The 12,135-nt window shown below is 46.6% G+C and overlaps 1 protein-coding gene and 1 pseudogene across 8 annotated transcripts in view, besides 2 other annotated features; both read right to left on the minus strand.

The window, feature by feature from the left end:
* UBE2O (ubiquitin conjugating enzyme E2 O) overlaps nucleotides 1-12,135 on the minus strand; it is a 63,697-nt gene that overhangs the window by 30,323 nt on the left and 21,239 nt on the right. The window lies entirely within an intron of this gene.
* Nucleotides 2,757-3,258: an enhancer, noted in NCBI's record as "H3K4me1 hESC enhancer chr17:74418617-74419118 (GRCh37/hg19 assembly coordinates)". NCBI's record gives its function as "activates a minimal SCP1, AML or CMV promoter by ChIP-STARR-seq in naive H9 embryonic stem cells {active_cell/tissue: H9 hESC(naive)}" and the evidence as "EXISTENCE:reporter gene assay evidence [ECO:0000049][PMID:30033119]".
* Nucleotides 3,259-3,758: an enhancer, noted in NCBI's record as "H3K4me1 hESC enhancer chr17:74419119-74419618 (GRCh37/hg19 assembly coordinates)". NCBI's record gives its function as "activates a minimal SCP1, AML or CMV promoter by ChIP-STARR-seq in naive H9 embryonic stem cells {active_cell/tissue: H9 hESC(naive)}" and the evidence as "EXISTENCE:reporter gene assay evidence [ECO:0000049][PMID:30033119]".
* RPL7P49 (ribosomal protein L7 pseudogene 49) lies at nucleotides 10,573-11,366 on the minus strand (annotated as a pseudogene).

The following is a 12,135-nucleotide window of genomic DNA, read 5'->3' on the forward strand; positions in this document are numbered from 1 at the left end:
CCATGCTGTGGCCCTGAGAACCCGATGCTCAGAGCTGTGACTAGAAGGGAGCGAGCTGGTGTGAAAGCGTGGCTCTACCCACGCGGAAACCTCAGAGTCTGAGAAAGAAGCATGCCGGCAGAAGGAGGCATGCCTGCTTGGCCCCATTCCTCGGCCATGGCCCTCGGGACCCTGGTGCTCCCTGCCCCTCCTTCATCACCTCCCTGCAACTGCGAATGCACAGAAGCATGACATAACCTTGGGGCAGCAGAAAGCTGCTGCCTCACTCCTGCCACAGCTCATGATCCGGAGCCTCACCCCTACCCAGCGCAGCAGTGGCCCCCTTCGCACCACACTCCCCCAAATGCCAAGCCTTGGCTGCTAATCAACAGCCACACTCTGAAAATGCACCGTACCTTCCTAGGCAGACTCATGCTGAAAAGGAGCCACTCAGCAGTGCTATTTTTAAAAATGCAAATATGGTAGGAAAAGGCAGTAAAAATAACACACAAGAGCCCTGATCCAAGGCCAGTTGTTTCCCCGGGGGCCAAGTTCCCACTGAAGTGGGAGCAGGGGGCTATGGAGGAGCAGGGGGCTATGGAAGTGCAGGGGGGCCTATCTTCCCACAGTGGTCCTGGCTTCCTGCATCGTTTTGTTTTCCTAATACCTGTGATTTTAGATCAATCCCAGTGGCCAGAAATGTTACAGACTCGCCCACATCTTTACCCAAACACACCACCGAGCAACCCTACATGCAGGCCAGGAGAACCTACACTAGAGGCACTGGCAGGTTTCATGACCCACCCTGGAATGACTATGTCAAAACAATGATGATTCTCCACTCCTTACAACTCTGTAACTACATCTTTGCGAGACAAACTGGGCTGGGGCGCTGCAGACATTTCTTTTTCACAGAGAAGCAGGAGCTTGATAAAGGCATGGGAAGCCAAGGAGGAAGAGACACAAGACGTCCTGGGATCGAGTGCAAGCTGGGGTCTTGCACCACCAGGTGTTGGTCCTGCCAGCATTCAAAATCGGCCTGCCACACACTGTTTATGTCTGTGGCCACAGAAAGCCCGAGACAGGCTGACCCCAGTGAGTTGGCAGGGACGGCCTTGTCACTCACCCCCCTAGACTTCCAAATGCTAACCTTGACAGTAGGAGTCCTCCCTTTCTTCAGCCCCCCACATCCCTGCAATTAGGTCAGGACAGGATCAGGTAGTCTGCTTTCTAAGCCAAGATTTCCAACAAAAATAAATACAAACACATAGCAGCATGTATTTGGGCTGAGTTCCTGGTAAAAGGCATGGATGGGAAAGTGAACAGGACTCAGCACCACCCATTTGCTAAGTGGGTGCAGTCCATCAGTACTGCAGACTTCGCTCCAAAAGGCCGTTGCTCCTCTGACAGGAAATGGGAAACTCACAGCTACAGTGAGCTCCCTAGAGCTGAGCCCAACCGTAGGGAAACACTGCAGAAAGAAGTGACGGCCTGCTGTCAGCGCTCATGGCTGACACCACATGGTCACCATTCTTCCAGATACTGAAACACTGGAGTCACCCACATTAAAGACACTAGAGCATGGAACATAATTTGAGTGACTATTTTCTTTTGTCTTTTTTTTTTTGAGACGGAGTTTCGCTCTTGTTGCCCAGGCTGGAGTGCAATGGCGTGATCTCGGCACACCATAGCCTGCTTCCCCGGTTCAAGCGATTGTCCTGCCTCAGCCTCACAAGTAGCTGGGATTACAGGCATGTGCCACCACGCCCAACTAATTTTGTATTTTTAGTAGAGATGGGGTTTCTCCATGTTGGTCAGGCTGGTCTTGAACTTCCGACCTCAGGTGATCCGCCCACCTTGGCCTCCCAAGGTGCTAGGATTACAGGCGTGAGCCACCACGCCCGGCCCTGAGTGACTATTTTCTATTTTCCCAGGGATGGAGTAATTAGCACCATTTGAGATCCATTACAACTGGTAACTGATGCCTTGGGACTGCTGGCTGAGAAGGGCTTGTGGCCTTTCTTTCATGGAGTAAATGCCACGTGCTTCCCATTTCTCCCATCCTGGCTGGCTCTATTTCCCTCAGTCACTGGGTCCCAGGAGGAAGTCAACAAGTCGCTGGCCAGGAGTCTGGAAAAGACAAGATGACGCCACCAGACTGCATCTGAGGACCCATCCCCTCTCCAATGGATCTGCATCCAGAGTGCTCAAGGACCACAAATCCCAGGTGGAGGAAAATGGGAAGATGGAGATGTCTCAAAGGATCTGCTGTGTCCTTCCTTTAAGGGACAACCAAGCCACAGGAGGGTCAGGCAGGCCTGTGGTGATGTTTTTGAGACCTCTATGTGTGATAAGTAATGGGACGTGTGCTAAGTAACCCCAAAATGCTAGTTCTCGTGGCCTCTCTCTCCGGCTTTTCCTCAATGGCTCCCAACTATTTCAGTCACTCCACTCATTCACAGCCTGAGTGGTCCTGAAAGGGAAGATGATGTGTGGAAGCACGACCTAAATGAACAACACGGGGAGAGGGCATGGGCAAAGGGCGGCTCACTTTAACCTGGCTTTTCCCAGGCTGAGCTCAAGTCCCATCTCTCCTCCAGCAAGGGCTTGACACAGACACAACCTGCTCTGTCATAAGGTCTGGGCACCCAGTGGCCTCTTCCTCCCGTTCATCATATGCTGTAGACCATCCATTCAGTTGTTCCCTCGCCCATTCAGCAAACTGAATAACCACTGGGTGGGCAGACGCTGTGCCAGATGCCAATGAAACATCTGGAACACGAGACAGTCCTGCAGGTGTCCGAGCAGGACGGAGGTTCCATCTGCAATGAAGCCGAGGCACGCCAGGCTTGGGGAGGTGTGGCCACCACAGGGAACAGCCATGGCTCAAATGTTCCCCCAGATAGCTGCACCCAAGTTTCTGCTCAGATGTCACCTCCTCAGAAGGGCTTCTCTGGCCACCCTGTCTGGAATTGCTCCTCCTCATTCTCTATCCACCTGCTTTATTTTTCTTCACAGCACTTACTGTTCCCACACCTGCAGTCTGTGTGCCCCATGGGGGTTAGAATGTGAACCACACAAGGGCAGGCACTGGGCACCAGTGCACCCCAGCAAGTGCCTGGAACACAGAAGGGTGCCTCTGAGGAGTCACTAGAGACAGCTGAAGGAAAAGCCATGGGAATTGGGAACAAGTGTCAAGAAAGGAGTGGCTAGCAATGCCTGATGCTGCTGAGAGATCCAGTGCCACGGGGAAGTGTCCCTGCTGACCTGGGCTCAGCAGTCCCAATGGGTGGCGTGGGCAGAATCCCCAATGGCGGGGCCTGGAGAACATCTGGCAATGCAGGAAACAGGAATCACAGCATGGAGCTCATTCAGGAACTACGGCTGAAGAGCAGGAAAAGGAGGAAGAGGTAGGTGAGGGGGTGGATGTGGGCTGAGGAAGGGTCTCTTTTCAAGACATTAAAAATGGGGTCAAGCTGGGCACGGTGGTACGCACCTGGAGCCCCAGCTACTCAAGAGGCTGAGGTGGGAGGATTGCTTAAGCCCAGGAATTCGACGCTGCAGTGAGCCCTGATTGTGCCAATGCACTCCAGCCTGGGTGACAAGAGTAAGACCCTATCTCTAAAAAATAAATACAGTAAAAATAAAAATGAGGGCCCGGCGTGGTGGCTCATGCCTGTAATCCCAGCACTTCGGGAGGCCGAGGTGGGAGGATCATGAGGTCAGAAGATCAAGACCATCCTGGCTAACATGGTGAAACCCAGTCTCTACTAAAAATACAAAAAATTAGCCAGGCATGGTGGCACGTACCTATAGTCCCAGCTACTTGGGGGGCTGAGGCAGGAAAATCGCTTGAACCTGGGAGGCGGAGCTTGCAGTGAGCCGAGATCACAACACTGCACTCCAGCCTGGGTGACAGAGGGACACTCCATCTCAAAATAAATAAATAAATAAATAAATAAATAAATAAAAAATAAGGTCAGGCAGGAAGCTGCCAAGGGAGAGCCTGAAGATTCAGGCCCAGGACATAATTGATAGAGGTGGCCTACGGCACAGTGTCCGCAAAGGAACCAGAACACAGGAGAGGAGACTTCCTCTCTTCACACCAGGTGGCTCTCAGCTACTTCCAGGTTGGGTTCTTTTTTTTTTTTTTTTTTTTTTTGAGACGGAGTCTCGCTCTGTCACCCAGGCTGTAGTGCTAGTGCAGCGGCGCGATCTTGGCTCACTGCAAGCTCCACCTCCCAAGTTCACGCCGTTCTCCTGCCTCAGCCTCCTGAGTAGCTGGGACTACAGGCCCCCGCCACCATGCCCAGCTAATTTTTTTGTATTTTTAGTAGAGACGGGGTTTCACCATGTTAGCCAGGATGGTCTCGATCTCCTGACCTTGTGATCCGTCCGTCTCGGCCTCCCAAAGTGCTGGGATTACAGGCGTGAGCCACCGCGCCCGGCCTTTTTTTTTTTTTTTTTTGAGACAGAATTTAACTTTTGTTGCCCAGCCTGGAGTGCAATGGCACAACCTAGGCTCACTGCAACCTCTGTCTCCCAGGTTCAAGCGATTCTCCTGTCTCAGCCTCCCCAGTAGCTGGGATTACAAGTGTGAGCCACCACACTCTGCTAATTTTTTGTATTTTTGTAGAGACAGGGTTTCACCATATTGGCCAGGCTGGTCTCGAACTCCTGACCTCACGTGATTCGCCCACCTCAGCCTCCCAAAGTGCTGGGATTACAGGCGTGAACCACCGTGCCCAGCCCACTAGTATTTTTTATATTCGTTACATTCTGAAATGGTATCTTGGATATATACTGAGTTAAATAAAACATTAAAATTAATTTCTGGCTGAGTGAGGTGGCTCATGTCTGTAATTCCAGCACTTTGGGAAGCCAAGGTGGGAGGATTGCTTGAGGCCAGGAGTTCAAGACCAGCCTGGGCAACAGAGTAAGACCCTATCTCTACATAAAAAAATGGCAGCAGGATCCCTTAAGCCAGGTGTTTGAGGTTACAATGAGCTATGATCGAGCCACTGCACTCCAGCCCGGGCAACAGAGCAAGACTCCATCCACCTCTACCTCCAAAATTAATTTCACCTGTTTCTTTTTTTTTTTTTATTTTTTATTTTTTTTTTTTGAGACAGAGTCTCGCCCTCACCCTGTCACCCAGGCTGGAGTGCAGTGGCGCGATCTCAGCTCACTGCAAGCTCCGCCTCCCAGGTTCATGCCATTCTCCTGCCTCAGCCTCCCGAGTAGCTGGGACTACAGGCACCCGCCACCACGCCCAGCTAACTTTTTTGTATTTTTAGTAGAGACGGGATTTGACCATGTTAGCCAGGATGGTCTCGATCTCCTGACCTCGTGATCCACCCGTCTGGGCCTCCTGAAGTGCTGGGATTACAGGCGTGAGCCACCGCACCCGGTTCACCTGTTTCTTTTAATGTTTTTAAAATGTGGTCACTTCTCAAGGTCCTTTCGACAAAAAAAAAAAAAAAAAAAAAAAAAGTAAAAGAAAAAAATGTGGTCACTAAAAAATTTTAAAGGACCTACTTGGCTCATATTGTATTTTTTTAAATAATAGTTTAGCTTAATTGTATCAAAACAATGCATGCCTAAGTTAAAAAAAAAACATAGTACTAAAAGGCTTAACAAAAACAGGCAGTCCCCCATCTTACCCTCTCAACTGTGCTCTTTTGAAGCAAATACTTTTTAATTTTTTAGCTGTTTGAATATTTACCTCCATACATATAAACAACATGCTTGCACCCTAATTCCTAACTTATTATAGACATTATCTATTGACGTCCTGTTTTGGTACCTGATGACCTAACTCTTACCCTCCCCTCTGAAGCCCTTTGCCTGTACTCCATCCTTTCAACAGTTCCACTGCATTAATTGAAAAATCTAAATGTGTTATGATGGAGGACAGAGCTCACAGCTGAACCAAGTGGTGTTCCGTGTCCTCACACAACTATGTACATATTGATACTTTTGTCAAATACCTATCCATAACTTTTCTAAATATCTTCAAATTACCTACAAATTATCGATCAGGTATCTTTGGGCTTTGTGTCTTTTTCTTGTCGATCTCTCTCCCTCCTGCAGAATTCCATCCTGTCTCTCTAACTCAGACTTTCCTCTGCCGCTCACCTGTGTCAGATCCCGTTTCCTGGATCCTGGGAAAAGTCCCTGGTTTTGGTGAAGAACAACTCCTTCTATCTCCTCCCCACAAGAGGTTCACAGGAGGCACTTTTTTTCCAGCCCTTACATGCCTAAAAGGAGGGTCTCACTCTGTCACCTAGGCTGGAGTGTAGTGGTGTGATCATGGTTCACTGCAGCCTCAACCTCCTGGGCTCAAATGATCCTCTTACTTCAGCCTCCTGAGTAGCTGGGACTACAGATGCACAACACCACACTTGGCTAATTTTTGTATTTTTTTGTAGAGACAGGGTTTTGCCATGTTTCCCAGGCTGGTCTCGAACGGGGCTCAAGCGATCCTCCTGTCTTGGCTTCCCAAAGTGCTGGGATTACAGGCGTGAACCACCATGCCCAGCCAAAAGAACTTTTTTCTACTCTACTTGACGTAGTTGGGCTGGATACGGAATTCTCTCAGAATGTTGCAGGATTTGCTCTGCTGTCTTCCAGTCTGAGTACCTGTCTTAACTGGCACATATAATTGTTTACTTTCATTGTGATCCATGTGGATTTATTTCTACTACCTTTAGGGCTTTCTGGCTACCATATTTTTTCTTTGCTCTCTTTCTTTTAGACAAATGACCTAGTTTTAAAATTCCATATTTTTACCCTCTGTGAGTTTGAAAGCTTTAAACACTATTTCTATTCTTTTGGTGGTTACCCTTAAAATTGGAACATGTCTACTTGACTCAGAAAGTTTGAAGTCAATCAATATCCCTCCTACACTTCCCAAACAGTTCAAAGAACTTAAGAGTGTGTTCATTCAAATCACCCCCTCACTGATTTCCATTTTTTGTTGGGACTTTGGTTTTTAATCCTCTCCAAATTAGTGACGATCACTTTCAGAAGCGAATGCTTATTCAGATTTACCTGCACTTCCCAACGCCTCTGGATACCATTACTGTCCGCATTTCTCCTTTCTCCTTACTTCCTTCTTCCCGAAGTACAGCGAAGGTCTCTTAGTAAATACAACTTTTTTTTTTTTCTGTGAAAATGTCCTTATTTGTTCCCATTATTGAACGATAATTTAAGCTGGTTGCTGAAAACTAAGCCAACAACTGATTTTCCTTAGCACACTGAAGATTTTACTTCCTTATGGCCTCTACTGTTGCTACTTGGCATTTCCTGAGTTTCACTGTTGAACCTGGGGAGTAATCTGCCTTTCTTCTCAAGCTGCCTTTAGGATGCTATTTTTCCCACTGGGCCCTCATACCACCATCCATGTTTGTAATGTCTCTTCCTCACAAGCATCTCTTTTATCTCTGCAGAATTCTAACTAACTTCTGCAGATCTGTTTTCCAGTTCCCATAGTTCTCTCTTGAGAATTTATGCTATTTGCTGTTTAACATTTCCACTGGGGTTTTAACTCAATGTTTTCACTCTAGAGGCTTTATTTGATTCTTTAAAAAATAATCCCTTTTAAGATGTATTCTGTCTTATTCTTTCCTTTGACATCTATTTCTTCTTTTAGCCCTTCAATCACTTTAGACATTTCTATTATAATCTCTTCTATTATTTGAATTCTCATGTTGAGAATCTTGTGTTTGTTGTGATCGCTGACTCATGTTCTAATTTCTACATGCTTGGTAATTTCCTAGAACAAGCTCATCATCTGTGGGCATCCTAGGATTCCAAAAGGCCTGTACTGTGCAAGGGTCACTCTAGAAAAGTTCTGCCTTTGTTCTGCAAGCAAGAAGCTTCAGGGGTATCGCCAGTCTGCTGGCTGGTCTGGTGCCAGCTCGGGCATTCCTGCAACATGTAGATGTTATAAACACAGACTTAGAACTTGGATGTTTTCCACTGTTCACAGAAGACTTCCTCCAACACAATCCAGAGTGTGGGGCAATGATCAGCTCCCTTGACATTTCTCTGATCCCATGGGGGAAATTTTCTTGCATCCCTTTTACCTGGGAATGGCTCTTTTGAGGGGATTTCTGTTTCAACTCCATGCTTCACGTGTTCATGCAAATCCAAACCTCTATTATTGTTAGGGTCGATTTCAGGGTCCAATGAACCCACCTTGCCCCTCCCCAGAGCTGCCTACTCTGCTCTGGCTTTATATTCCTGCTTTGCTTTCGGTTCTCTGTTTTTCTTTCTTATTCTGTTGTTATAGCTTATATAGCATTTTAAGTGATTGTAATGGGAGCGGTTCTAACTTTAGCTCAAGCTACCATGTCACTGAAACAGGAAATCCACCCCATTGTCTTCTGGCTTCCAATGAGGTTGAAAAATCCAATCCATCTTCATTCCCAGTCTTTTGTATGTGACCCGTTTTTGCTCTTCGGAAGCTTTATGCCCAGTGCTCTGGAATCACACAATGTGCCACAGGACATTTTCCATTTACCATTTTTGAAACTTATGACTGTCCATTCTGAAATAATTCTTGTTTCTCTGATACATTATGGTCCTTAATTTTCCCTTTCTCTCTTTATAGACTTCCTAGATGTCAGACGTTTTTAATCTGTTTCCTGGGAGCCTTCGTCAACTTCAAAGAAAAAGTAATGGTTTTAATTTCCGAGAACTCTTTCTTGTTCTGATTTTTATAGTAACTTTTTATTTCATGGATAAAATATTGGCTCTTCTTTCTGAGTATATTTGCCATGTGCTTTAAGGCTTTCTCCTACCTGAATCAGCTCTGATTCCTCGGAGATACATTTTTCTCTTTGCTTTCTCTGGCCTCTACCTTCCATACTGGAAGCTTTCTGAACATATCCAGTTATTCTTGGCATCCATTCCTATTTAAAAGTGAGGCAATAAGAGATCTTTGTGGTGATGGAAGAGTTGTGTATCTTGACTGCTGTTACATGTGGTTACATGAATCCACAGATGTGATAAAGGGTGTGAAACTGTATGCACATATTGTGTACCCATGTCAATTCCCTGATTTTCATATTGTCTGTGATTATATAAGACATGACCATCAAGGGAAACTGCATGAAGGGTAGAGGGGACCCCTCTACTATTTTTTTTTTTTTTTTTGAGATGGAGTCTTGCTCTGTCGCCCAGGCTGGAGTGCAGTGGCATGATCTTGGTTCACTGCAACCTCTGCCTCCTGGGTTCAAGCAATTCTCCTGCCTCAGCCTCCCGAGTAGCTGGGATTACGGGCGCATGCCACCATGCCCGGCTAATTTTTGTATTTTTAGTAGAGACGGGGTTTAACCATGTTGGCCAGGCTGGTCTCGAACTCCTGACCTCGTGATCTGCCCGCCTCGGCCTCCCAAAGTGCTGGGATTACAGGCATGAGCCACCGCGTCCAGCCAGCCCTCTACTATGTTTGCAACTTCCTATGCATCTATAATTATTTCAAAATAAAAAGTTGGGCTGGGGATGGTGGCTCATGCCTGTGATCCCAGCACTTTGTGAGGCTGAGGTGGGCAGATCACTTGAGCTCAGGAGTTTGAAACCTGCCTAGGCAACATGGCAAAACCCCATCTTGACAAAAAACACACAAATTAGCCAGGAGTGGTGGCGCATGGCTGTAATCCCAGCTACTTGGGAGGCTGAGGTGGGAGAAGTGCTTCAGCCTGGGAGGCAGAGGTTGCAGTGAGCCAAGATTACACCACTGTACTCCAGCCTGGGTGACAGAGTGAGACTCTGTCTCAAAAAAAAAAAAAAAAAAAAAAAGTTAAAAAAGTTGAGGTGATAAAAAGATGATAGAAACCCTGTGAACATAAGCAAGGCTCTGGACAGGTGAGGACCACATTAGATGGAGTAGAAAGCTGGCCACTGCTGTGAGGAGCCACTACATACTGGCAATGGCAGGTCTTGTTGCTGACATGCTCATTTTTTCCAGACTGGAATCCAATGCCATGCCTCATGCCTGGCCTCAGCACTCCAGGAGCAGGCAGGGGCATGGCTGGGATTTGCTCTTTTAGTGTGCAGACGTTCATGAATCCCTCTTTCAGTCCAGCGTTACCCTGCCCCTTGCTCTGCCCAAGGTACCTCAATCTGGTGCATAAGCCTCTGCTCTCTCACTCGCCAGCAAAGGGGATTGAGTATTTTCTGGTTTGCAGAATTCAAAGAGATGACTTGGGAAGTTTCATCCCTCCCTATACAGACTGTCAACTAATCATAATCCCTCTGCTTTTAGGCCCAAACCTTATTCCCACCTTGAGTGCCACCAATTGCCTCCAATTCCTGATGCTTTCTAAAGTGCTTTTCCTTGGTGTTTTTCCGCAGGTACCAACATTTCAGCCTCTGCTCTGCTCAGTCTTCTGTTTGCCTTCCACCTTCTAGAAATTGGAGATCTTTTGTTATTGTTTTCTCTCCCATTCTGTGTCCTTGTGGGTTTATACATCTAAAAACAATTATTTTGCTGTTATTTTAGCAGAGTTTCTAGGGGAAGTAGATTTAAATGAATATGTTCAATCTACCATGTTTACCTAAAGTATGCTAACCGAAGATTTTTTTTTTCAATTTGAGAGCAGGTACTATTTATTAACTGACCAGATTAGAAAAATAATCACGGTAGACACCGCAGTTCATTCTTCTAAGAAGCCTGTGGATCTGGCCCTCCCTGTTGGCAGCAGCTCCATTTTCTACAAAATGGGTGGTCTTTTTCTTCATTCCACTTTGTGGAGAGGATAACTTGAAGGGCCACAGTATAGAGCTCATGAATCAGATCCTCGATGCAGATGATGCCATATTGACCATGAGACTGATCAATCAAAGTGTTATCTGTCAAAGCAATTCGCTTCTTATTGATTTTGCCACGGCCATGCTTGTAGATGAGTTTATTTACTGATTTCAGATTTGGGTTCCCCTTGTAATACATGGTTTCACAATCCTCAGCATGTTAACTGAAGGTCTGCTGAACTTCACAAAGGTTCCATTAAAGATCTGACAAAGGCAAAGAAGCTGCAACATCTTTTGGCCCTTTGGGCTCACACCACTGATACCTCTGACCCTGATGACAAATGCCAATTCGGGTTCTGCAGGCACAAAAAAGTTGCCAGCTTTTCTTGCCATCCTAGCCTTTCAAATTTCAGTTCTGTACATCTGCCTAGATTCCTTGTGGTAGTGCTTCACTTCTTCGTGCATAAGTTTCCTCCCTGCCTTTTGAAGCATCTTTTGGGCAAACTTCTTATTCAGGTGCTTGATCTTTAGTTCTGTGAAATTCCTTTGCTTTTTCCCAAGGGTTTCTGGCACAACAGGAAGCTGCTGCTTCTCTTCGACACCCTCCATGGTTCCAGCCAAAAAAGAGGCAACCGGAGGTTTTTAATCTTTGTTTTGCAAAGTACTTATATACAACTAGATCTGAAGATGAAGGAGAAGTAATAAGTCAACAAAAGCCGGCCACGGTGGCTCATGCCTGTAATCCCAGCACTTTGGGAGGCTGAGGTGGGTAGATCACTTGCAGTCAGGAGCTCAAGAGCAGCCTGGCCAACATGGTGAAATCCCGCCTCTACTAAAGATACAAAAAAAAATTAGCTGGGCGTGCTGGTGCACGCCTGTAATCCCAGCTACTTGGGAGGCTGAGGCAGGAGAATTGCTTGAATCCGGGAGGCACAGGTTGCAGTGAGCCGAGATCGCACTCCAGCCTGGGCGACAGGGTGCTCTGTCTCAAAAAAAAAGTCAACAAAACCCAGGAAATCACAAATTCAAAAATTAGCCATCCTTAGTTCAGACATTCACCTACTCACCAATTCATTTTGATGGACTCTCCTCATGTTGCTATTCTGAGATGTGAAATAGTGGGTAGGGAAAAGAAAGACTATTAGGGCCAGACACTGTGGCTCACACCTGTAATCCCAGGAGCTGGGAAGCCCAGCGGGGGGGACTGCTTGAAACCAGGAGTTTGGGACCAGCCTGGGCCAAGACTCCATCTCTATGAAAAAGTAAAATTAAGAATAAAAAATTTTAAAAAGAACAGCTCCATTAGAAACTCCCCCAGACACCTGAAAGGGCCACACATCCGCTCCTACAAATGGCTTTTTGTTTCAAATGTTAAAGAAAGTTTAAGTCCCATGGATT

Source organism: Homo sapiens, chromosome 17, assembly GCF_000001405.40.
Source record: "Homo sapiens chromosome 17, GRCh38.p14 Primary Assembly".
In the NCBI taxonomy this organism is placed as follows: domain Eukaryota; kingdom Metazoa; phylum Chordata; class Mammalia; order Primates; family Hominidae; genus Homo; species Homo sapiens.